General features: G+C 42.0%; 1 protein-coding gene and 3 pseudogenes across 1 annotated transcript; 3 read left to right on the top strand and 1 right to left on the bottom strand.

Annotated features, from left to right (window-relative positions):
- On the top strand, nt 3,846–4,523 carry FABP5P11 (fatty acid binding protein 5 pseudogene 11; annotated as a pseudogene).
- Nucleotides 6,584–8,643, top strand: CCT8L2 (chaperonin containing TCP1 subunit 8 like 2). The gene has a single exon (NM_014406.5). The coding sequence runs from the start codon at nt 6,844–6,846 to the stop codon at nt 8,515–8,517; it is 1,674 nt and encodes a 557-aa protein (NP_055221.1). The 5' UTR covers nt 6,584–6,843; the 3' UTR covers nt 8,518–8,643.
- KCNMB3P1 (KCNMB3 pseudogene 1) lies at nt 16,687–18,628 on the top strand (annotated as a pseudogene).
- Nucleotides 24,758–27,370, bottom strand: LOC100422375 (phosphatidylinositol-4,5-bisphosphate 3-kinase catalytic subunit alpha pseudogene; annotated as a pseudogene).

Raw genomic sequence — 27,708 nt, 5'->3', positions numbered from 1 at the left:
AAAATATTAGAATGTGTACTTTCTAATAAGTATACATGTTAAATATGGGATTTTAAATTTAGGTAGATGTGTACTAACCTGTTAACCAATCATCTGCAAAGGGTTGAATTACAAGGGACTTTTACTGTCTAAAATATTTGAATATTTCAAAGCACATGTAGTAATCGTTTAATCATATATATATATATATATATATTTAGTTTTTAATGGGGAGGGAATGAGCATTGTTATCTGTGACAAAGAAAAACCAACATCTCAGGAAAATATAGGCAAGGAAGATTCTCAAAGCATCTAGCAAACAAGTGACAGTGAATAAAAATTCATAGTCCAATATTCATTCTTACTAATTGAAGACCTATAACACGTCATTGATATTGTCTTTATTTAGAATGCACAGGTTCACTACTAAATGTTGTCTCTCTTGTTTTCCCATAAATTCCTCAGGGCTTTTTAGGAACCAAACTTTCACAGTTATAGAAGGACTACTGAAAGCTTAAATTTTAGATCTTAGAATTTTTGTGTTCATATTGTTATTATTAAAGTTGCACTGTAGGCTGGGCACCGTGGCTCATGCCTGTAATCCTAGCACTTTGGAAGGCCAAGGCAGGTGGATCACTTGAGCTCAGGAGTTCGAGACCAGCCTGGGCAACATAGTGAGACCTCCGTCTCTACAAAAAAATACCAAAGAAAATTAACCAGGCCTGGCTGGGCGCGGTGGCTCACGCCTATAATCCCAGCACTTTGAGAGGCCAAGGCAGGTGGATCATGAGGTCAGGAGATCGAGACCATCCTGGCTAACACGGTGAAACCCTGTCTCTACTAAAAATGCAAAAAGTTAGCCGGGCGTGCTGGCAGGTGCCTGTAGTCCCAGCTACTCGGGAGGCTGAGGCAGGAGAGTGGCGTGTACCCGGGAGGGGGAGCTTGCAGTGAGCTGAGATCGCGCCACTGCACTCCAGCCTGGGTGATGGAGCGAGACTCCGTCTCAAAAAAAAAAAAAAAAAAAATTAACCAGGTCTGGTGGCACATGCTTGTAGTCCCAGCTACTTGGGAGGCTGAAGTGGGAGACAGTCTTGCTCTGTCACCTAGGCTAGAGTGCAGTGATGCGATCTCAGCTCACTGCAACCTCCACCTCAAATTTGCCGGGCACGGTGGCTCATGCCTGTAGTCCCAGCACTTTGGGAGGCCAAGGCAGGCGGATCACCTGAGGTCAGGAGTTCGAGACCAGCGTGGCCAACATGGTGAACCCCCGTCTCTACTAAAAATACAAAAATTAGCCTGGCATGGTGGTGTGCGCCTGTAATCCCCGCTATTCTGGAGGCTGAGACAGGAGAATTGTTTGAACCCAGGAGGCGGAGGTTGCAGTGAGCCAAGATCACGCCATTGCACTCTAGCCTGGGCAACAAGAGCGAAACTCCGCCTCAAAAAAAAAATTCATATTGCTATATAAGTTATTTCAGTAAAGTATATCATGTACCTGTTTGGTGGAAAAGTTAAAGGAAGAAACCAGGAAGGAAACAAACAGAACAGTCATCTTCAAAAGTAATTTGTGTTTAAGAATGTGAGGCTTAAGTAGATGTTTTGCAGTACATTTTATATAGATACAAATCTTGCCCTCTAGGGGTCTATACTTTAAGCCTGGCAGTAGTAGTTAACAAGGATAAACACAAAAGGACAAGTAAGCAACTAGAAAATAAACATGGAGGCCGGGCACGGTGGCTCATGCCTGTAATCCCAGCACTTTGGGAGGACGAGGTGAGAGGATCACGAGGTCAGGAGTTCGAGACCAGCCTGGCCAATATGGTGAAACCCTGTCTCTGTTAAAAATATAAAAACTAGCCGGGCGTGGTGGTGCACACCTGTAGTCCCAGCTACTCAGGAGGCTCAGGCAGCAGAATCCCTTGAACCTAGGAGGCGGAGGGTGCAGTGAGCCGAGATTGTACCAGTGCACTCCAGCCTGTGGGCAATAGAGGCAGACACCACCTCCAAAAAAAAAAAAAAAAAAAAAAAAAAGAGAAAGAAAGAAAAGAAACATGGAAAAACATACAAATAGAAAGATTAAATATTTACATCCATTGTGTACAAGATCATAGTTTTAAAAGAAATGCATCTGTGGATTCAGGGGGAAGGGCAGCAGTGGGAGAAGTCATAGCAGACAACCATATCTATTCAGAAGAGGGTGACAGAACACATTCTGCTGGCAAGTATCATAAACTAGAAATTTTCAGGCCAGGCACGGTGGTTTACACCTGTAATCCCAGCACTTTGGGAGGCCGAGGTAGGCAGATCACTTGAGGTCAGGAGTTCGAGACCAGCCTGACCAACATGGTGAAACCTCGCCTCTACTAAAAATACAAAATTAGCCAGGCGTGGTAGCAGGCACCCGTAATCCCGGCTATTCTGGAGGCTGAAGCAGGAGAATTGCTTGAATCAGGGAGGCAGAGGTTGCAGTGAGCCAGGATCGTGCCACTGCACTCCAGCCTGGGTGACAGAGTGAGACGCTGTCTCAAAAAAAGAAAGAAAAGAAAGAAAGAAGGAAGAAATGGAATAGACAGCCCTATTCATCACCCTGCAGGCTGAAGCCTTAATTCCTTGGCTTGACTCACTAGGTCCGGAGAGCCCCTGCTACCCTCTGGCGAACGTGCTCATCTCTTCCCCAGCTTTCCTTCTCACCTGACCACCAGTTTTCAGAACTCCTTCCAGTGGGCTACAAACCACCAGGCTGTCCCATCACCCTTCCCCTTTCCACGAGGCCAGTTCCTACTTTTTATTCAGCTCTTGCTTTAGACCTCTGCCCTCCGTGAGAATGGCTGTGTCCCCCTAAATGCTTCTGCCAACCTTGTGCTTTCCCCACTCACAGCTCTCATTGCCTGTAATCAAAGTGCCCAGATTAATGTCTGTATCGTCCCTCCAGCGGAGATGGCAGTAGTTATCTGCCTTATTTCCCCTATTCAACAGCAGCTCAGTGAACAGTTGTAGGGTAACTGAAATGAATATGAAAATGTAGATTAGGTGTTAGAAAAAGAGCTAAGAGGATCCTTTATAGGAGTGTTTATTTTATTTTATTTTTTGAGACAGGGTCTCACTCTGTCACCCAGGCTGGAGTGCAATGGCACTATCTCAGCTCACTGCAACTTCCACCTTCAGGGCTCAAGCAATCCTCCCACCTCAGCCTCCCAAGCAGCTGACTACAGGCACACACCACCACGGCCGGCTATTGTTTTGTATTTTTAGTAGAGACAGGGGTCTTGTCATATTGCCCAAGCTGGTCTTGAATGCCTGAACTCCACCTGGCTCAGGCCTCCCAAAGTGCTGGGATTATAGGCTCGAGCCATGGCCACTGGCCGGTAGTGTTTATTTTATTTATTTATTTATTTATTTATTTATTTATTTATTTTTTGAGACTGAGTCTCGCTCTATTGCCCAGGCTGGAGTATAGTGGCGCAATCTTGGCTCACTGCAATTTGTCCACCTCCCAGGTTCAAGAGATTCTCGTGCCTTAGCCTCCGGAGTAGCTGGGATAACAGGCACCCGCCATCACACCTGCCTAATGTGTTTATTTTTTCAAAAAAGAAACTGTATCTTTAGAGAAAATGTATACATGCATACTTTGCTACATTTTTGTTGATTGTTACATTTTACATTTGTATAACAATACAGGCAAGTCATCTTTGCACTCATAACCACATCTTTTATGGAACATCAAGCCTACTCTGAGGTACAGGCTTTCAGAAGCCTGAATTTGGAGGACCATGCCTGATCCAAATGGAGTCTCCAGAATCAAAAGTGCTCAAAATAATCATTCATGGTTCTCAGACCAAATAAGATCTCCTTAGAAACATTTCTCGACAGCACGCTGCCACGCCGACGCAGACCCTGCTCTGCACACCAGCCCCCCTGCACCCACCATGGCCACAGTTCAGCAGCTGGAAGGAAGATGGCGCCTGGTGGACAGCGAAGGCTTTGATGAATACATGAAGGAGCTAGGAGGAAATAGCTTTGCAAAAAATGGGCGCAATGGCCAAGCCAGATTGTATCATCACTTGTGATGGCAAAAACCTCACCATAAAAACTGAGAGCACTTTGAAAACAACACAGTTTTCTTGTACCCTGGGAGAGAAGTTTGAAGAAACCACAGCTGATGGCAGAAAAACTCAGACTGTGTGCAACTTTACAGATGGTGCATTGGTTCAGCATCAGGAGTGGGATGGGAAGGAAAGCACAATAACAAGAACATTGAAAGATGGGAAATTAGTGGTGGACTGTGTCATGAACCATGTCGCCTGTACTCGGATCTATGAAAAAGTACAATAAAGATTCCATCATCACTTTGGACAGGAGTTAACTAAGAGAATGACCAAGCTCAGTTCAATGAGCAAATCTCCATACCGTTTCTTTCTTTCTTTTTTTTTTTTCATTACTGTGTTCAATTATCTTTATCACAAACATTTTACATGCAGCTATTTCAAAGTGTGTTGGATTCATTAGGATCATCCCTTTGGTTAATAAATGAATGTGTTTCTGCTTAAAAAAAAAAAAAGAAAGAAAAAAAGAAACATTTCTCAGGCCGGGCACAGTGGCTCACAGACCAGGCACAGTGGCACACGCCTGTAATCCCAGCACTTTTGGGAGGCCGAGGCGGGTGGATCCCCTGAGGTCAGGAGTTTGAGACCAGCCTGACTAACATGGAGAAACCCTGTCTCTACTAAAAACACAAAATTAGCCGGGCATGGTGGCACATGGCTACTCAGTCCCAGCTACTCAGGAGGCTGAGGCAAGAGAATTGCTTGAACCCGGGAGGCAGAGGCTGTGGTGAGCCGAGGGTGAGCCGAGATTGCGCCATTGTACTCCAGCCTGGGCGACAAGAGCGAAACTCCGAAACTCCATGTCCAAACAAAAAAAGAAACATTTCTCTGAGCCAAGATAATGTTGAGGGGGAAATGATCACAGAATAGCATATATGTATCATAATCTTATGTAAAATGGTGTAAATCTATAATTATGTATGCATATAATATGTGCAAAGTAGTAATGTTCATCAAGTTGTAAACAATGGTTATCTCTGGACTAGGATTCCAAATGACCTTTCCCCTATTTTTTTTGAGACAAGTCTCACTCTGTTGCCCTAGCTGGAATGCAGTGGTGCAATCATGGCTCACTGAAGCCTCAACCTCCTGAGCTTAAGCAATCCTCCCGCCTCAGCCTCCCAACGTGCAGGGATTACATGCATGAGCCACCACGCCCAGACTAAATATGTGTTAAACTAAAGCAGAAGCATCATTACCCGAGTAGGCTCTATAGGAGGAAAGAGGAGACAAGTGAGGAAAGGAGAGAGAATGAAAAAAAGAGACTTAAATTGTAAGCATTGAAGGTTAGGATGGGAAGGCGATTCGCATTTAAATCTCAGGACCCCATTTAGGCTTCTACCTCCCTGACCGCTGGGAGGCTGGTTGCTTTTCACCCCTCTGGGTTCACTTCTATTTGTCTGTGAGCTGTCAGCATCCTTCCCCACTTGTCTTGCCCTGCCTCTGCCAGGGAGGCAGAGTTGGGAGTCGTGGCACAGGCATGCACGCTGTGCAGCCTCCCACACCTGCACCCTGAAAGACCAACAGACACCCTAAGAAACCTGATACACAAGCACAAACTGATAAGATACCCAAAAAGTCAAAGGCAGACAGCAAAACATGGCTAATATTACACAGTACTGCAAGAGAAAGTAACACCAAAACAAAACAAAACACAGACATCATCTCTCAGTTCCTTCTCAAATAAAAAAAAAAGGCCAGGTGCAGTGGCTCACACCTGTAATCCCAGCACTTTTGGAGGCCGAGGTGGGCGGATCACTTGAGGCCAGGAGTTTGAGACTAACCTGGCCAACCATGGCCAACATGGTGAAATCCCCCTATCTCTACTAAAAATATAAAAAATTAGCCGGGCGTGGTGGCTGGCACCTGTAATCCCAGCTACTGAGAGGCTGAGGCAGGAGAACTGCTTGAACCTGGGAGGTGGAGGTTGCAGTGAGCTAAGATTGTACCACTGCACTCCAGCCTGGGCAACAGAGTGTGACTCTGTCTCAAAAAAAAAAAAAAAAAAAGGGTGGGTGAGGTGGTGGCTCACACCTGTAGTCCTAGCACTTTGGGAGGCCAAGGTGGAAGGCTCTCTTGAGGCTAGGAATTCGAGACCTGCCTGGACAACAGACAGAAACACTGTCTCTACAAAAAATAAAAAAACTAGCTAGGTGTGGTGGTGTGTGCCTGTAGTCCCAGGTACTTGGGAACCTGAGCAGGAGGACTGCTTGAGACCAGGGAGCTGGGCCTGCAGTGAACCATGGTTATGCCCCTGCACTCCAGATAGGGTGAAATGGGTAGTTTTTCACTTGATCTCCTCCTCATTGTCTCTTACGTTTAAACAAGTCTCAAACCTGGTGCAGAGGTGCATGTACCTCCATTGCTGGACAAGGCCTGACTTTTGCCTGCTGGTAGGGCCTCCTCAGTTCTAACCAGCCTTCTGTGACCTCATTCTCTATCCTGGTTCCATTTTCCACTTTGTGACTTCATCAGTTAAAGATCCCATTTCAGCCACCAAGGTTGAGAGGCCCCAAGACCCAGTTCCTTTACAGAATCAACCCTGGGGTGGCTTTAGGACTGGGCTCTTTGGAGCTCATCCTTGGACCCACAGTGGAGTGCTGGTCCGTGCTGATGTCTTCAGATACCAATCAATGGGCATTTGGCTCCTTGCTTCCACTGACCTCTTGAGTACTTTCAACGATCGGTGTCAGGAGTGCCCCAGCTGCTGTTTCTAGAGCATCTCTGCAACCCACGGTGGCCTCTCCTCTCTCTGCGGGCCATGGACAGCACAGTCCCTTCAGCCCTGGAGCTGCCCCAGCGGCTGGCACTGAACCCAAGGGAGAGCCCGAGGAGTCCAGAAGAGGAGGAGCCCCACCTGCTGAGCAGCTTGGCTGCAGTCCAGACCCTGGCCAGTGTCATCCGGCCTTGCTATGGCCCCCACGGCCGGCAGAAGTTCCTGGTGACCATGAAAGGAGAAACAGTGTGCACGGGGTGTGCCACTGCCATCCTCAGGGCCCTGGAGCTGGAGCACCCAGCAGCATGGCTCCTCCGGGAAGCAGGACAAACCCAGGCAGAGAATAGTGGGGACGGCACAGCCTTCGTGGTTCTGCTGACGGAAGCCTTGCTGGAACAGGCAGAGCAGCTGCTGAAGGCTGGCCTGCCTCGCCCGCAGCTCCGGGAGGCCTACGCCACGGCCACTGCAGAGGTCCTGGCCACACTGCCCTCCCTGGCCATCCAATCTCTGGGGCCTTTGGAAGATCCATCCTGGGCCCTCCATTCTGTGATGAATACCCACACCCTGTCCCCCATGGACCACTTGACCAAGCTGGTGGCCCACGCCTGCTGGGCTATCAAGGAACTAGACGGCAGCTTCAAGCCTGAGCGTGTTGGGGTGTGCGCGCTGCCCGGGGGGACACTGGAGGATTCCTGCCTCCTCCCGGGGTTAGCAATATCTGGGAAGCTCTGTGGGCAAATGGCCACAGTGTTAAGTGGTGCCAGGGTGGCTCTCTTTGCTTGCCCCTTTGGTCCTGCCCATCCAAATGCACCAGCAACGGCCCGTCTTTCTAGTCCTGCTGATCTAGCTCAATTTAGTAAAGGAAGCGATCAATTACTAGAAAAGCAAGTAGGCCAGCTAGCAGCTGCAGGAATTAATGTGGCAGTGGTGTTGGGGGAGGTCGACGAGGAGACCCTCACACTGGCGGACAAGTATGGCATCGTGGTGATTCAAGCTAGGTCTTGGATGGAGATCATTTACCTGAGTGAGGTGTTGGACACACCTCTGCTGCCTCGTCTGCTCCCTCCCCAGAGGCCAGGCAAGTGCCAGAGGGTTTACAGGCAGGAGCTGGGAGATGGTTTGGCTGTGGTATTTGAATGGGAATGTACAGGCACACCTGCCCTCACTGTGGTTCTCAGGGGAGCCACCACCCAGGGGCTGCGGAGTGCAGAGCAGGCCGTCTACCACGGCATTGATGCCTATTTCCAGCTATGTCAAGATCCCAGACTGATTCCAGGAGCTGGGGCCACAGAAATGGCTTTGGCAAAAATGCTTTCTGATAAAGGAAGCAGATTGGAAGGGCCCAGTGGGCCTGCATTCCTAGCATTTGCCTGGGCCCTGAAGTATCTTCCTAAAACTTTGGCAGAGAATGCAGGCTTAGCTGTCTCAGACGTGATGGCAGAAATGAGTGGAGTGCACCAAGGTGGGAACCTCCTAATGGGTGTGGGAACTGAAGGGATAATAAATGTGGCCCAGGAAGGGGTGTGGGACACCCTAATAGTCAAAGCCCAAGGATTTCGAGCAGTGGCTGAGGTGGTGCTACAGCTCGTGACTGTAGATGAAATCGTAGTGGCCAAGAAAAGTCCCACACATCAGGAGATCTGGAATCCTGACTCTAAGAAGACAAAGAAACACCCACCTCCTGTGGAAACAAAAAAAATCCTTGGATTGAATAACTAGTGATACCCTCAATAAAACAGGGATTGCCAAGAAGGGAACAATCACCCCAAAAATGAATGTTTGCCTTTATTCCGTGTTTGGTACTTGATTCACTTTCTTTAAATAAAAACATGAAGGAACATAAAATTTCTTTTCATGCGCTTAGTTCCTTTCCAGTTCTCGACTTTTTTTGTTTTTTTTTTTTGAGAGACGGAGTCTTGCTCTGTTGCCCAGGCTGGTGTGCAGTGGCGTGATCTTGGCTCACTGCAACCTCCGCCTCCCAGGTTCAAGCGATTTTCCTGCCTCAGCCTCCTGAATAGCTGGGACTACAGGTGCGCGCCACCACGCCCAGCTATTTTTTGTATTTTTAGTAGAGACGGGGTTTCACCATATTGACCAGGCTGGTCTCGAACTCCTGACCTCATGATCCTCCCGCCTCAGCCTCCCAAAGTGCTGGGATTACAGGCGAGAGCCACTGTGCCCAGCCAGTTCTTGACCTTTTCATTTTGTGTTTCTATCAGATGCTCTTCCTTTCCTATGATAAGAGCAGGATTCAATTCTATTAAGATTTTTAAACTGAGTACCTATGTGGGCTTTGGGCGTGCAAAACACAGTGCAGCAATCTCTTCCCAACTATTTGAGCATTCCCTGCATGATATTCTGACATATATGGACTTATGTCTAGATGTCACTTTAGGAGTCTGAAAACATCAGTTGCAGCTTACAAGAGTGGTCAGTCCTTCCTGTTGTGGTTATTTGAAAAAAAAGAAGGGACTATCATCTTAAAGCACAGAGAGAGAGAGAGAGCAGGAGAAAGAGCTGCTGTGGTGGCAGGCAGAAATGTAACTTAAAAAGAAAAAAATCCTTGCCTGGCAAAGTGGCTCATGCCTATAATTCCTGCACTTTGGGAGGCTGAGACAGGAAGATCGCTTGAGTCCAGGAGTTCAAGACTAGCCTGGACAACATAGTGAGACCCTATCTCTACAAAAATAAAAATTAAAAAAAATTAGCCAGGCATGGGCCGGGCATGGTGGCTCAAGCCTTTAATCCCAGCACTTTGGGAGCCCAAGGTGGGTGGATCAGCTGAGGTCAGGAGTTCAAGACCAGCCTGGCCAACGTGGAGAAACCCCATCTCTACTAAAAATACAAAACAGTAGCCGGATGTGATGGCACATGCCTGTAATCCCAGCTATTTGAGAGGCTGAGGCAGGAGAATTGCTTGAACCTGGGAGGCAGAGGTTGTGGTGAGCTGAGATGACACTATTGTACCCCAGCCTGGGCAACAAGAGCAAAACTCTGCCTCAAAAAAAAAAAAAAAAAAAAAAATTAGCCAGGCGTGGTGATGCATACCTGTAGTCCCAGCTACTCAGGAGGCTGAGTGGGGGGATCACTTAAGCCCAGGAGATCGAGGTTGCAGTGAGCTGTGATTGTGCCACTGCACTCCAGCCTAAGAGACAGAGCAAGACCCTGTCTCAACAAAACAAAACAAAACCAGCAAACATCCTTGGCATAGATAACAGAAGATAAGAACACATACTTTAGGACTATACTAAGGTTGCTGTGTAGGTGAGGAGAAAGCTGAGGGTAGGGGGAAGGGCTAGGATTGGACAACCTTGGGCATTAAAGAAGGGGTTTGAGCAGAGCTGAGTGGGTTTGGCACCTAATACGCAAAGCTTTTTCCACTTTTTTAACTTCCAAGTTACTCTAGGAAAAATCAGAACCTATGGGACAGAATCTAGGAGATGAGAAGGTACAATCTTTTAGAATCATAAAAATAAAAAAGCTTTAGGCATATGCAGAGAGAATGAGACTCAAGAAACCATTGTCTTATAGCACGCATATTAGCCGCAACACAGCAAAACAAAATTTTATTTATTTATTTATTTATTTTGAGACAGAGTCTTGCTCTGTCACCCAGGCATAGTGACTGGTGTGGCCCAGGCACCAGTGCAGCAGTGCAGTCTCAGCTCACTGCAACCTCTGCCTCCTGGGCTCAAATGATTCTCCTGCCTCAGCCTCCTGAGTAGCTGGGACTACAGGTGTCCACCACCATGCCTGGCTAATTTTTGTATTTTTAGTAGAGACGGGGTTTCGCCATGTTGGTCAGGGTGGTCTCAAACTTTGGACCTCAGGTGATCCACCTGCCTCGGCCTCCCCAAATGCTGAGATTACAGGTGTGTCCCACCCCAATTTGCTATATCTTGATTTTGTCTAGAATCTAAGTATCCTCTTTAATGTCATCTTTAAGTGTCTTTTTTTTTTTTTTTTTTTTTTGAGATGGAGTCTCACTCGCCCAGGCTAGAGTGCAGTGGCATGATCTTGGCTCACTGCATCCACCTCCCGGGTTCAAGTGATTCTCCTGCCTCAGCCTCCCAGTAGCTGGGATTACAGGGGCCCGCCACTAAGTCAGACTAATTTTATTTATTTATTTATTTATTTTTTGAGATGACATCTCACTCTGTCACCCAGCCTGGAGTGCAGTGGCGTGATCTCGGCTCACTGCAACCTCCACCTCCCAGGTTCAAGAGATTCTTCTGTCTCAGCCTCCTGAGTAGCTGGGACCACAGGCGTGCGCCACCATGCCCGGATCATTTTTGTATTTTTAGTAGAGACAGGGTCTCACCATAATGGCCAGGCTGGTCTTGAACTCCTGACCTCGTGATCCACCCATCTCAGCCTCCCAAAGTGCTGGGATTACAGGCATGAGCCACTGCCCCCAGCCAATTTTTTTGAATTTTTTGTAGAGACGGGGTTTCACCATGTTGGCCAGGCTGGTCTCGAACCCCTGACCTCAAATGATTCACCCGCCTCGACCTCCCAAAGTGCTGGGATTACAGGCATGAACCACCGACCCCAGCATAAGTGTCCTCTTTAGTTGTCAAAACATATGACTCAAACATCAAGTTGGTTTTTTTCTCCTACTGACTATGGAGAAGTTGAGCAGAATTTGACCTCAATTTGGCCAGATCCAGATTCTTCTTCTGAGGTTACAGGATCAAGGTCTCCTAGCATGCTAGGTCTCAATACTCAAAGGCTTTGGCTTTGGAGTTGGCTACATATTTCTCTTCCAAGATGAGCTGTTTGCTTCAATTCCAGAAGCTGTTGAATTTCAGAAATGACAATTCCTGGAGTACATTTTCTTTTTTTTTTTTTTTTTTGAGATGGAGTTTCACTCTTGTTGCCCAGGCTGGAGTGCAATGGCATAATCTTGGCTCACCGCAACCTCCGCCTCCCAGGTTCAAGCGATTCCCCTGCCTCAGCCTCCCTAGTAGCTGGGATTACAGGCATGTGCCACCACACCCAGCTAATTTTGTATTTTTAGTAGAGACGGGGTTTCTCCATGTTGGTCAGGCTGGTCTCGAACTCCCAACCTCAGGGGATCCGCCCGCCTCGGCCTCCCAAAGTGCTGGGATTACAGGCATGAGCCACTGGGCCCGGCCATCCCCGGAGTACGTTTTCTATAAGAACTTGTAGCTGGTGGACTCATCCCAGACCCCTTCCAGCTTTGTGACACTGCTTTACTGTGCTCCAGGTTGATCTAGCAACCAGGGAACAATAGCCACAATCCGGAGAAAACAGGGGAGGAAAATGAGAACTAAGTCCTGGGAAATGAAGGAGATGAGAGGCTGACTTGGATAGTGGAGGCTGGGAATGAGCCTTGGGAACTGCTCATCCATTTGGGCTATACGTAGGCCAGTCATGGTGACTCATTACCTCTAATCCCAGTAGTTTGGAAGGCCAAGGCAGGCAGATCACTCGAGGTTAGGAGTTTGAGACCAGCCTGGACAGCACACTGATACCCCTTTTCTACAAAAAAATAAATTACCCAGGTGTGGGGGCATGCACCTGTAGTCCCACTTACTTGGAAGGCTGAGGCAAGAGAATCTCTTGAACCCAGGAGGCAGAGGTTGCAGTGAGCCGAGATGGTGCCGCTGCACTCCAGCCTGGGCAACAGAGCAAGACTCCATCTCAAAATAATAATAATAATAATAATAATAATAATAATAATAATAATAATACATTAAAAAATAAAAATTAACTGGGCATGGTGGTGAACACCTGTAGTCCTAGCTACTGGGGGGCTGAGGTGGAAGGATTTCTTGAGCCCAGGAAGTCGAGGCTGCAGTGAGCAGTGATTGGTCCACTGCACTCCAGCCTGGGTGACAAAGTGAGACCCTTTCTCAAGAAAAAAAAAAAAAAAGACTTCAATCTACAAAAACATTGGAGTTCTGATGAAGAGAAAAAGGTATCAATTCCAAACTGTGAAAAGAACTGTGAAGAGACTATTGAAAACAAAACAACAGAAAAGAGTTGTCATAGTTTGCCAGTCCTTTCCCTACATGGGCCAGCCTCTTCTCATGTGTATTGAGTTGTTTCTCCAGAGTCTTTATTTATTTATTTATTTATTTTTGAGATGGAATCTTGCTCTGTCACCCAGGCTGGAGTGTAGTGGTGTGATCCCAGCTCATTGCACCAGTAGACAGGTATGACAGATATTCCAAAAGTAGCTGAGTCACCTTTTCCCCTGAAACATCAAGCATCCCCACCCCCACCCCCCCGCCGCAGGCTAAAGATCCTCTTTCCTAACTAGGGAGGAAGAGGAAGAAAGTTAGGGTAAGAATGAGGGAGATGGTGGTAGAATCTCTGACAGGGATTCTACTCACCTCCCAGTGGGTTCCAAGGAGTGAGATGGGGGAAAGGACAATTAGAATCCACAACAAAGTTTGGGGGTCTGAGAACAGAGGAGATTCTCTGCTTCCAATCTGGAACCCTGGGGCCCCAAGAAGTTCCCTGTGCCAATGGGACAGCAGAGCTGTAGAGCAGGAATGGCTGAGGCCTCGGGCGTAGATGGGCCCCGGGTAGTTGATGGGGTGTTCGCGGCCGAGCAGCCTCAGAGAACAGCCAGGTTCCCCCATGAAGCAGCAACCATGAAGCCCCTGAACCTTAGGGCATTTCAAGGTCATGAGAAAAGGTAGGATTGTAAACTTTAGCTGAGGCTTGAGAAAGACAGAAAATGACCTCAGACCACAGGACACCAAGATGCTGCATCAGCCCGTGGACTGGAGGCTAATTGTCGGGTGAATGAGAGAAGGAGGTGAAGGAGAAGATCAAGAAGGGACTTGGTTGAGGTTTGGCCTGATCAGGAAAAATCATAAAAGGCCAAAGTTTACCTGGAATTGACTAGATTAAGTATCTTACCATCAGGCAGAAAAAGGGGGCTAGAAATAGAAATACTGAGATGATTTAGTTATAAAAGCATAGCACGAATACTTCCCACACATTGGAGTGTAGGACTTAAGAATTTAAACTCTCGGCCGGGCGTGGTGGCTCATGCCTGTAATCCCAGCACTTTGGGAGGCCAGGGCAGGCAGATCACCTGAGGTCAGGAGTTTCAGATCAGCCTGGACAACATGGTGAAACCCTGTCTCTAATAAAAATACAAAAATTGCCCAGGTGTTTTGGTGGGTGCCTGTAATCCCAACTACTCAGGAGGCTAAAGCAGGAGAATCCCTTGAGCCTGGGAGGCAGAGGTTGTAGTGAGTCAAGACCCTGCCACTGCACTCCAGCCCGGGCAACAGAGCGAGACTCCGTATCAAAAAAGAATTTAAACTCTCTACAAATGTGAATTTTCCCCCAGGCTGGAGTACAGTGGCACAATCTTGGCTCACTGTAACCTCCACCTCCTGGGTTCAAGTGATTCTCCTGTCTCAGCCTCCCTAGTAGCTGAGATTACAGGCACCCGCCACCATACCCGGCTAATTTTTGTATTTTTAGTAGAGATGGAGTTTCACCATGTTGGCCAGGCTGGTCTTGAACTCCTGACCTCAAGTGATCCGCCTGCCTCTGCTTCCGAAAGTGCTGGGATTACAGGTGTGAGCCACCACACCCGGCCAAATGTGAATATTGAGTAAAGACTTCAGACACCGTCCTCTGGGTATTACCAACAGGGTTTGACACTAGTAATTGCAGCGCCACATAAGAAAGACCAGACGCTGGTTAGCAAAACAATGGTAATCCTCTGCAATGCAGCACATGTTTGAGAAGCAATTTTATACAGTAGACAGGGTGGAAAAAATGGCTCTTTGGAAGTTTTCTTCTAACTCACAGAATGCACCAGCAGGAAAGGTGGATCCCGGCAAGTTCAGGGGACATATGCCTCTCTATAGTGAAAAATATTTTCTTTCTTTTTTTTTTTTTTTTAGATGGAGTCTCCCTCTGTCGCCCAGGCTAGAGTGCACTGGTGCAATCTCGGCTCACTGCAAGCTCCGTCTCCCAGGTTCACGCCATTCTCCTGCTTCAGCCGCCAGAGTAACTGGGATTACAGGCCTCCGCCACCACGCCTGGCTAACTTTTTGTATTTTCAGTAGAGACGGACGGGGTTTCACCGTGTTAGCCAGGATGGTCTCGATCTCCTGACCTCATGATCCACCCGCCTCAGCCTCCCAAAGTACTGGGATTACAGACGTGAGCCACTGCGCCCGGCTGAAAAATATTTTCATATCCAGTTCAACATTCATTTCTTAAAACATCTTAACACATGTCCTCTGCCTCCTGTGTCCACAGACCCCAGAACCCTAGCATTCCAGAGTCCCCCTTTCCTACTGTGGCTGCTCCCCTCTTGGCAGGCACCCCAAGTTCTGGACTAGTATTTCCCCTACAGAAGAGAACAAGATCAGCCAATCTCAGACTTCCCTATGCAGATGCAAAATATTATGTTTCCTATTTCATTCCTAGTCAGTCATTTTGATTGCAAACCTCCTTCTATTTCAATTTTATTACTATAGGTTTCTTTTTGATGTTGTTGTTGTTGTTTGTTTGTTTTTTTTGAGACAGAGTCTTCCTCTGTCACCTAGGCTGGAGTAAAGTGGCACAATCTCAGCTCACTGCAACCTCCGCCTCCCGGGTTCAAGCGATTCTCCTGCCTTAGCCTCCTGAGTAGCTGGAATTACAGGCACCTGTCACCACACCTGGCTAATATTTTTGTATTTTTAGTAGAGACAGGGTTTCACAATGTTGGTCAGGCTGGTCTCAAACTCCTGACCTCAGATAATCCACCCGCCTGGGCCTTCGAAGGTGTGGGATTACAGGCATGAGCCACCGTGCCTGGGCTAGTATCTGCCTGTTTCTTTCTTTTTTTTTTTTTTTTTTTTAAGACAGAGTCTTGCTCTGTCGCCCAGGCTGGAGAGCAGTGGTGCGATCTTGGCTCACTGCAACCTCAGCCTCCCAGGTTCAAGCGATTTTCCTGCCTCAGCCTCCCGAGTAGCTGGGACTACAGGCACGTGCCACCATGCCTGGCTAATTTTTTGTATTTTTAGTAGAGACCGTGTTTCATCATGTTAGCCAGGATGGTCTCAATCTCCTGACCGCGTGATCTGCCTGCCTCGGCCTCCCAAAGTGCTGGGATTACAGGCATGAGCCACCGTGCCCAGCCTAGTATCTGCCTTTTAAGGCTTTATGAGGATTTGTCCAGAACTTCACACAGGAAGAGCTCAATACATGCTTATTATTCTTTTATTATTTTCATCAATATTATTAATCCTATGGTTGTGTACCACAGAACAAATATTGTAAGCAATAACATCAAAATAATTTCAGAAAACTAAATGGGCTAGTTAATGTATTTTGTCGAACCTAAAACATCACCATTTGTGAGATTTTCCATTATTTTATTTACTTATTTATTTATTCTGTCACTATATTGGCCAGGCTGGTCTCCAGCTCCTGGGCTCAAGCGATCCTCCTATCTTGACCCTTCAAAGTGCTGGGATTACAGGCATAAGCCACTGCATCTGGGCATGTTCCATTATTTTACAGACTATTAAAGAAATGTTTTCAAATAATAGCAAGATGCCATTGATTGCAAAATACATATTGATTTTAGTTATATTAAAATGTAAATACTAAAGTGCACTTTAGAATTGATAAAACATAGTATTTGGGCCAGGTGCAGTGGCTCATGCCTGTAATCCCAGCACTTTGGGAGGCCAAGGTGGGTGGATCACTTGAGGTCAGGAGTTGGAGACGAGCCTGGCCAACACCCTGTCTCTACTAAAAATACAAAAATTAGCTGGACATGGCAGCTGAGCGCCTGTAATCCCAGCTAATTGTGTACATAAGCTCATAACCGCACCAAAATGTAGAACGAAATTTTCTAGTAAGTGAAGAACATTTTTTTTTTTTTCAAATTGAAGCATTCGGAGAGAAGAATCAACCTGCACTGCCATCCACACAGATATCATGGACGACTGGCTGGACTGTGCCTTCACCTGTGGTGTGCACTGCCGTGGTCACGGGAAGTACTCGTGTCTTCGGGTGTTTGTGAACCTCACCCATTCAGCTCAGAAAGCTCTCCTACATTATAATGAAGAGGCTGTCCAGATAAATCCCAAGGTATTGTAAAGTTTAAAGAGTTCTTATGACAGCAACCTTTCCCTGCCAGACTGTCCCTAGCAGGGTACATAAATAACCCAGGGCTGTCTTTAGGGATAAATCTATTTTTTTGGAGTGAACATTTTTATAGTGATCAAATCAGGATAAATGAAGCTTTCTTCTTGGTGGAGAAATGGGGTATATAGAAAGGAGAGAAATTATTCCAATTTCACAACTTGGTGTCTGGAATTTATAGGCTGAGCCAATGAGTAGTCATTTGTGGGGAGTCTTTCTTTTGGAGATTCCACTCCGCGCCATATAACATATGCTACAGTGTACCACAGTCTCCCTTGAATCAAGCGAGTAATTTTTTCTTATCAAATAAATGTAAAGATTATTTTTATTTTAATAAGTTACACAATGGGTTCATATGATTTAACGAATTATAGAAATGATCCCTGAAAGTATAGTCTTTCATATGATTTAAAATTTATATTTATACCTAACTATAAAAGTTGAGTTGTGTTAGATTAGTTGACATGTTACACTTTATTGTCTTTAAGCATCAATTTCAATCTGATGACTTTTGTTTTCTATTTTGGATGCAATGATTTTTAAGATTTCAAACAGTTTGTAGGCCTTTAGCACAGTACCTCAAGTACCTAATGGATATGGTAATAAACCTCAAGCTTTTTTGAAAAAAGTCACCAGCTGACAGAGCTCCCTTCTCCACTGGTTCTGTCTCCCAGGAACCAAAGTCCAGGTGGGGCTCCCTGTCTGTGAGTCTAGAGCAAAAGCCTCAACGTGCTTTTCTTCAGGGTAATATTTTGCTACAGGAGATCAAGACAGAGACCACAGAGGCATTACTAGGTGTTGAAAGCTCATAGTAAGGCTCAATACATTTTTGTTCAATGGACAAACGGATTCATACTGTCCAAGAGTCCAAGAACCTGCATGTAGGGAGGAGTCATATTCCTTATGAAATTGGTCACTGACTCTCCTGCAATGTCATATAAACTAAGAATTCTCTTCCACATCCTTGCTTAATGACTGGAAATGGCCATTTCACTGTGGCCCTCCAATCAACCCTTTCCCATGAGCTATGTAATATTTTACCACCTTCTAAGATTGAAACTGCCCACTAATAACTTCAGCCTGAAGCTATTTCATAATTAGAAACTGTTAAGTATTTGGTATTGGTGACAGTGCCTTTATCTTTTTCCCTCTTCCATATTCCTAGTGCTTTTACACACCTAAGTGCCACCAAGATAGAAATGATTTGCTCAACAGTGCTCTGGACATAAAAGAATTCTTCGATCACAAAAATGGAACCCCCTTTTCATGCTTCTACAGTCCAGCCAGCCAATCTGAAGATGTCATTCTTATAAAAAAGTATGACCAAATGGCTATCTTCCACTGTTTATTTTGGCCTTCACTGACTCTGCTAGGTGGTGCCCTGATTGTTGGCATGGTGAGATTAACACAACACCTGTCCTTACTGTGTGAAAAATATAGCACTGTAGTCAGAGATGAGGTAGGTGGAAAAGTACCTTATATAGAACAGCATCAGTTCAAACTGTGCAGTAGGAGGAGGAGCAAAGGAAGGAGCAGAGAAATCTTAAGACGGTGGCCAAATTAAAGGGCTGGCCTTCAGATGTCTGTGATTTCTGCAACTGAGGACCTAATTATGCCTGTCTGCAAACTAACAATGTAAAACGTAATGATTAAAGTATCATATTTTCATGTGGGAAAAAATTTAAAAGCCTCATTTTGTATTCTATTTATTTCTATAAATACATACAAATTAACCATCTTTTCTAATCTCAATCTCTTTCCAAATGAGCTAAGGAAGCACTTTTTTCCTGTATAGCAAAATGAGTTCAAGATATTCTTTGCCTAATTTCAGCTCTAGCTAGAACCAGTCAATATGGAAATAAACAATGAGGGTATCTAACCTACTGAACACTGAACCATCAGCCTAACTCTATGCAATATAGTCATACTAAAATATTTCTCATAAAAAAGTTCTTAACAGTTCGTTCACTATACGAAGATAAAAATCCGGTAGAAAACTTAAGAAAACATGGACCTAACATATTTATTATAGTTTTTTTCTTTTTTTTCCTTTTTGAGATGGAGTTTTGCTCTTGTAGCCCAGGCTGGAGCACAGTGGCGTGATCTTGGCTCACTGCAACCTCTGCCTCCTGGGTTCAAGCAATTCTCCTGCTTCAGCTTCCTAAGTAGCTGGGATTACAGGTGTGCACCACCACGCCCAGCTAATTTTTATATTTTTAGTGTAGACAGGGTTTCACCATGTTGATCAGGCTGGTCTTGAACTCCTGACCTCAGGTGATTTGGCCGCCTCAGCCTCCCAAAGTGCTGGGATTACAGGCATGAGCCACTGCGCCTGGCCTTAGTTTGTTCTTTACCAGTCTAGACAGCAGAGGAAAGCTGCTGCCTAGAAAATTCACTAAGTTTAGAGTTACTAGTATTTAGCCTTGTCATGTACCATGTAATTTTTCTTTCAGTAACATTTTTCTAGTTAATTAAGCTTTTCATAAGCTCATTTCACTTTGTGCACTTTCTGGTGGGAAAAATGGGCCAGAAATATGAAGAAGCTATACTGGATTTCAACATTCATCTCAGATGATCCACATCGTATTAGGCTGGTGCAAAAGTAATTCCAGTTTTCGCTGTTAACCTTTAATGGCGAAAAACCGCAATTATTTTTGCGTCAACCTAATAGAAAAGTCCCACATGGATAGTCAACAATTGTCTGTACTTTAATTAATGAATCAACCGTGGTTATTAAATGATGTCATAAGGCTCTCAACAAATGCTTTCCAGATTGATTAAGCCGAATCTGTGAGTGGAAAAGAGATTTTGGTCTGATTTTCCAAAGTGCCTCAAAGTATCTTTAAAATTGTATTATACTCAAAAATCTTAAATTATGGACAGTAGAATGAGACATTTGAAGCTACTTTTGTATGTAGATGTAATCAAACAAAAAACTGATTCTAAGTCAGTTTAATCCCTTTTAGCAATTAATTTCAAGACACATATTACTAAATTAGCTGAATACAGCAATATTGACTTGATCAGTAATGAATAATCTTGGTGTTTTCCTTTCTAGTGTGCAATGGTGGAAAGAACATGTGTCTCAGAGTAGGATTTATTTGACTTTGTAGGCCATAATCACAACTTTGGGCAAATAAGCTAACCTGTGTAAACCTTTCTTTTCTCATCTATAAAATGGGGATAACCTGTTCTTTCACGCAGTTATTTTATAGAATAAGCAAAGTAGGGCATGTGAAACACTTTAGCTTAGCTTCTAGCATCCAGTAGCGGTGCTCAAAAATGTTAGATCATTTATGTAACAATCTGCTAGGTTATAACATTCAGTGAGCCTTGGTACTTTTCATTGAACAGCTGGTATAGAGGCTAGGGATAGGGAGCTGCAGTTCATTTTCCATGCCCCTACCCGAGTTCTCTTGGCTAAATGTGATACGCATTTAAGGCCCAGAACCTGCTGTTTAAAAGGTTGTGGTAAACTATTTTGTATACCAAAGACTTCTCTGTAATAAAGTATGTAAGTACACATGAACATTTTATATGCACGCACATTTTAAATCATCTGCACATTGAGATTCTACACTTTTCTCAAGGGCACATCTCTATTCCGTTTCTTTGTAAATTTGACTTCTACCTAACAATATGCAATTGCTGGGATTTTTTTCCCTAACAAATTCAAAACTGCTAATTTAAAATGTAAAGTGTGTGTTTCAATTACCACAGTTTTCCATTTAGATAGGAGCTACCTGAATCATTCCAGCAAAGAGAGATATTATCCCTGGAGAGCAAAGTCAATTCAAAATTATTTAAACCATTTGGCAAATAAATAAAATGTAAGTAATTATTTGCTTAATTGCTCAGAAATACTAAGTTGTTAATGCCTATGTGCATTAATGGTCAAAGAAAAGCCCACACTTACCTTTTGCAATGTTTATGAGAACTGAAAGCAAAACCAGTTTGCTTGTAGCCTAACTTCATTTCTAGGTTCTGATCTTCAAATGACTTGGAAAAAAGTCCACTTACCTATTGCATATACATACATTCATATGTATGTATACATACATATATTTCTTAAAATACAAGCATATAATTCTTTATGCTTAAAGGAAGTAAATATTTAAACATACATTTCTTTAATATTCATCACTTTACTGGGGCAGAAAAATTGGCTTTTAAGGTATAATAGTTTCAGATTTTCAATCAAGTATTCTTAGTCATTACTGAAAAGAACTCAAATTCAGCTAAATTTTGATTTTAGCAACACTGGCTTGCTTTTCAAAAGGAATGGCAAAAGAGAATTATCACAGTTTTTTGCTTATGTAGTACACTAAGGATTGTTTGGACACAAGTCAAAGTAATTTTTCTTTTTTTTTAATAAACAGCATGATGTTACAGACTGCAGAGTTAAAGAAAAGCAGACATTGACAGTTTCTGATGAGCATAAACAGTAAGTGCAGTCACGGGCCAAACTTCTTGCTAGGAACAGCAAGACTGGGAAGAGGTCTTAAATTTAGTGATACTGTTATTATTCTGTATTCTCAATATAATAATACATGCATCTTGCTGTGTCAAATGCTTTCTGGGCCATCATTAAAAGGACATTAAAAACGTTTTTCTTCTAATGAATGCAGTATACCACAGGACTTCAATTCACTGAATGACAAAATATAGAGAAATAAACTTGCTACAATTAATGGGGCCAAAAGGGTGGTTCGAATTTCTTGTTAAAGCTTCCAGGTGAACATCTGACGTGTTAGTAGTCTTCTTTTGGTAGTGCCACATTCCTCAAGGTATTAAAATGTTATGCTCCAAAAGGGTATATTCTTTTAGATTTTATTCAACCCAATTAGGTCTGAGGACTGAATCACACTGAAACCATTAACTTCATTTGAAACTCAAAATGTTTTTGAAATCAGATGAAGGCCAAGTTCTCCAACCACTCTTAGGAACATAAATTAAATTGAACAAGGGACTTTTAAAAATGAACTAAAAACAAAATTAAATAAAAATGAAATAAATAGATAATGATTTTGGAAATTCATACTAGAATTAAGTTTAGTCTAATTATATTTTAATATGAAACAGTGAAGCTTTTCTGCCTCCTTGCTAACCTAGAAAAATTGACAAAAATAAGAATACCTAAAAGTATACATGGTTCTTAGCATAACCACAAAATTATTGTAGTGACAGATTAAATAAGGTTGCAGATAGATTCATAGACTTTAACTGGCTAACAAAATACATTTAAAAACCTTTTCTGTACTTACCTACATGAGGAATGGAGTACACTGTTGGTAGAAAAATCATTTACCTAACTACTATATATGCACAAGGGACTAATTTTTTTTCTCCACTAAAACTCATATGTAGTTGTATAAAAATTAAGTCAGAAAATTTCCTCATGGCTCACACCTGTCACTTTATGCTAACTAGCAAGGCTGGAATATTAACATACCTAAAATCAAGCAGAAGAAATGGCACTGCACTAATAAAAAGGAGGTGCAAAACCTTAAGTGGAATAGGTGCATGAAGTTTATTTAAAGACTAACATCCCAACTTGGGAAACTCCTAATAAATTCTAAACTCTTCCGAATTTTAGAACCTTGATATTTCTTTACACCTTTTATAAAAGATGCCTCTTGACTAGGGCTTAGCAAGCAGTGTGTACACAAACAGAATTGTGTGCAAGTATACACACACCAAATGCACTAATAATGAAGAAGAGAGAACAAAATGAATTTCAAATGCCGAATTCGGAAACCTCCTCGAACTATTGCCTTTTTCAAATGGCTGGACCAACGATTAAACTTCAGCCAAGTTTTTTTCTTAAGGTCTTCCATATCATTAAAAACAACGCATGCCAACTCTGACTTTATAAATCTAAAATTCAGTGATCTGCACAGTTTCTGAGCTTGAAGTATTGAATTGTGACTCATCTATTTTTTTTTCCCATTTTCCTTCTGAGGTAGAGTTACCAATCCAATTTTATCAGGACCACAGATATTTTGAGCTAAACCCCATAATCTTTTCATACAGTAAAAATAATTTTTATGAAAATAGAAAACAGGCTTCCCAGGCCATGGCACATAGATATATTTAAAATTTTTAATGTAATAATTAAAAATGGTATTGTTTATATTTATAAAACAGCCCAGCTGTATTATTCTGTCACCAAGAATTATTAATTGAGGATGCTGTCAATGCTGACTTTTACAGTTCAGCCTTCACAATCCCATCCATGATGAAGAGTTGATTCTCTTACGGTATACAATATACTCTCACAACTTTCAGCCTTCTCTTAAAGACATGCCCCAAATGAGCAGGATGGATATAAAGAATGTAATTCATTCAAACTCCTCCCTGTTCTGCCCCCTCCCCTCACATTCCCCTCTTCTCAAAAACATCTGAAGTATGAAAGTTGTCTTTAAATAGTAAAAGCACCACAATCTATTAACACCACATGTTATCTTTAAACTGAAATATTTTAGTGATGTCTTGGACATCAAAATAATTTCTTAAGGTGGACTCTTGAGTATGTGGGTCCAGCCCAGGTCTGCAGTTTGTGCAGACATAGAAAAAAGAGGAACTTTAAATATTCAGAAAAAGTTAACAGGCTAGCTTTAAAATACTGCTGGAAATTAAATTTCTTCAGAGTTGGCAAGCATGGGCTATTGATCAAAATATGAATTAAACGGATTTACATCATTAAGAAAAAAACAAATCCATGTTATTGTGCTGTGAAATTTCCATGATGCCTTTCAAATAGGCTGCTCACAAATTTTTTTATAATTCTAAATCACTCGCTTTTTGATGGAAAAAAGAATACAGATGGACTGTGTTTTACCTATGTGAAAGTCACCAATCCATTTAAAATAAAATCCAAGAGGGCATATACAGTCTAATCAAGTCATCATTTTCCTGATTAATAAGAACTACACTTTACACAAAATACTTTATCAGCAGCTGTTTTCATCAAAAAATCAGTAGTCAGTTTCACAGTTGAAAAAGTTACACATTAAAATATTTTACAATTCATTATATATTCACCAGGTTCCCATTTTCTAAGGGGCTTTTAATATAAAGCAGAATAGAACACTGTCTCTACTAAAAATACAAAAATTAGCTGGGAGTGGTGGCATGCTCCTATAGTCCTAGCTACTCAGGAGGCTGAGGTGGGAGGATGGCTTGAACCCAGGAGGTCAAGGCTGCAGTGAGCCGAAATTGCACCACTGCATTCCAGGCCGGGCAAAAGAGCCAGACCCTGTCTCAAAAAAAAAAGTTTACATTGTATTTCCTACTCTTAGTTACACTAAGCTAGACAGCAGATGACTAGAGGGTGTGATATATTTACTGAGTGACTCGAAATCCATTTTAAACTTGGAAATGTAAAAACTAACTTCTTTCCACTCATTTTCAGGGTCATTACTGAGAGATAATAAATGACAGAATAAGGAAATAATCACTGTAAATACTTAGGGACCTGAATAAGAGAAAGGAAGGGAAAGTAAAGGGATCTAACATTTATTGGGCACCTTCTGTGTTCCAAGGATTGTGATAGGTTCTTTGCATATCTCATGTAATTTAATTCTCACAATGGCCTTACGAAGCAGGTATTATTCCCATTTTACAGACAAAGAAAATGAGTCTTGAGAGCCTGCATAACGTGTCTAACACTACACAGATGAGAGGCAGTGGAACTTGGTTCCAAATCCTAATCTGCTTGATTCCAAGGACCATGATCTGTATATACACTGGGCTTCTAAACAACTCTGCCCCACTGCAGTGAAAAGAGTCTCAAACACAGACTAGAGTCACACAACTTTTGTGTTTCATCCTTCTTCTCCTGTTTGACAATGTCAGTTAAGTTAATGAGCTTTTCCATTGCCTCGACTTGCCTATTCAGGTGCTTCAAATACATCCCACATGCACGACAATAGGACTCCAAAAGCAGGCCAAACCTCTGGCTAAGTGTTTTATTGTGCATCTCAGATCTAAAAGAATCATGCAAAATTAGAAAAATATATATATAGTCTTAAATCAGTATACAAATAATCTTTGCTAAACAATTTAAACACTCATTTTTGAAATCCAATAAATGTTACAATCATACTAATAATAACATTATTCAAAACCTGTAATTTAGAAGCAAAACCACCATGAGTTTCAGGTAGTTCCTGAATATGTGATTAAATAAACATCTAGTTTTTAGGTTTATTTCAACTAGTTTTCATTGACTAATCTCAGTACAAGATATAAAAGCATGAAAAAAGGAAATTGAGCACAAAAATAATCAAATGAAGAGGGAGGGAACAAAGCGCTCAGTGAATGCTGTTTGACTCTTCTGACACACGTCTACGCTTCTTGTTTTCAACTTAACTTCTGGGTTCCATTTTTAAATTTTAACACTTAAAATATCATATTAGATATAAATCTGTTTCTAAATTTATGAAAAGTTATATGGTTTATGACCTGTAACTTTTGAGTACTGCATATATCACATTCTACAAAACATTTTTTATTCTTAATTAGCTTGTTTTTCAGTAAGAACCACGGGAGTTTGACATTATTGTTCTGAATCTCAAGGTAAAACATTTTTTTTCTTTTTTTGGGGATATTTTAATCCATACACACAGTGAAACCTACAGCAATATTCATCTGGACCTAGAAAATTTTACTTAAGTAGAACAAAAATCTTTAAAAATATTTAAGCTCTCATTCATGACTGAAATTTAGTTTTGAATTTATTACTTTTTAAATTTCAAAGAGCAAAAGTTGAGAAGCTCATCACTGGTACAAAATAGTTTTAGTATGGAAAACTCTTCCAGCCAAACATAAACAAAAGTATATAAGTAATACATATTTATAAATCTATTAAGAAAGCAAGTAATATGTACCTTAAGAATTTAATGGGAAAATAATTAGACTTACTTTAAATGCCAAAAGAAAAAGTGCCCAATCCTTTGATTAGTCAATGCTTTCTTCAGTAAAAATCTCACAAGCAAGTTATCCAAATATTGTTCATATTTTAGGACCTAGGTGATTCAAAAAAAACAAATCAGGTTCAGTTTCTGCATGGCCGATCTAAAGAAAATTTTTTCAGAAAGAAAGTGGATATTACTGGTAATAATTTTTTTTAAGCATAAAACTAGTTAGTGCAGTAGGTTTTTTAAAAGGAAGTTGTATGGATCTAAAATAAATTATTATTGTAATTAAACATTATTCACTATTTTACATTATTTTACCTGTACTAGCTGAATTAAATACTGAGAAAGTTTGTTATCTGTTAAATATTTTTCCAAGCACTGAACAGCAAAACTTCGAACCATAGGATCTGGGTAATTACAGTCCAGAAGTTCCATAGCCTGTTCAGGTTTGATTGGAGGCCAATCTTTTACCAAGCAATACATCTGTGTATGAGAAAGACAATAAATCATATTTAAAGGGGAAAGATAGTTGTGAATGAGCCATCTAAAACACTGCCTTAACTTCTGATTTTAAAATTAGTTTAGATAAATAATCTCCTTAGAATTTACAGTTCTAATTAGTTTTATCTATGGAAATAATGTTAAGGGAGTTTTTTCTACACCATATTACTATTATTAGTCTATTTCATTTATTTATGTGGACTTTCTGAGAGAAAACAATTTAAGTGACATACCAATTTGTACAACAGTTATCTAGTAATCTCAAACATACATTTACCTGGGCTACTTCATCTCTAGAATTCCATTTAACAGACAGAATATAGCTCATATTTTTCACCTACTTATGCAACATGAATGAATCATAGAGTCACCACTTCTACTGTGGTTACTGGACAAAATTTATGTCTTAATGGACTTTCTGCAAAAATGCACTGCAACTGGTTTATTTAAATATACCCGTATCACCAACAGCAGGGTAATTTCTTCATAAATGAAAATAAGGCATTATACTATTTGAAGAAACGTAAGAAAAAAATGAAAGGGAACCCCTAAAAATTATAATATCTAGAGCAACTAAATCACATCTAAATTGACCTAAAACTACTAGAATATTTTAAACAATCCTAAAGAAAGTCATATCAGGAATTCAGAGTAAGAAAAAGCATTTAATGTGCCAACTACAAATGTAGTATGATTTTCTACAAATATCAATTTACAGCCATTGTTTTTAAAAAGGCAATGTTTATAGTTTAAAAATCATGTAAATTCTGCTTCATTTATTCTAATAGGTATGGTAAAAACATGCTGAGATCAGCCAAAGTCAGTTATTTTTTCTGTAATAAAGAAAAAGAAACAGAGAATCTCCATTTTAGCACTTACCTGTGGTCCATAGAAAATCTTTCTCCTGCGCAGTGATTTCAGAGAGAGGATCTCGTGTAGAAATTGCTTTGAGCTGTTCTTTGTCATTTTCCCTTAATTCATTGTCTCTAGCTAGTCTGTTACTCTGTAAAATAAAATAATATCTTATATAGCTTTCTTTGTCATATTTTTCCCCTCTGGATTCACAGATGATTTACAAAAAAAGCAAATACATTTTCAATAAACTTTACATTGCTAATTAACTGTTGTAAAATAATTTATTCTCATTGCAAGACTTTATTTTCAGAGACAGGAAAGAACCAATCTAAGATATAATATTTGTGGAACAAATCCAGTAATTTATTTGGTTAATATTACACCAATCACAGAATAGTAACTGCTGAAGTTAGCCAACAACAAGACCAGATTAGGATACTAGAGGATGGTAGTGAACAATTTACTTTTCCTCCTGATGAGGATCTTGTTA

Source organism: Homo sapiens, chromosome 22, assembly GCF_000001405.40.
Source record: "Homo sapiens chromosome 22, GRCh38.p14 Primary Assembly".
Lineage (NCBI taxonomy): Eukaryota > Metazoa > Chordata > Mammalia > Primates > Hominidae > Homo > Homo sapiens.
This window is presented reverse-complemented; position numbering and strand designations above follow the sequence as displayed.

What these genes read in the sequence shown, in the direction of transcription:
- CCT8L2 (NM_014406.5), top strand. Translation starts at nt 6,844, where the DNA reads ATGGACAGCACAGTCCCTTCAGCCCTGGAGCTGCCCCAGCGGCTGGCA.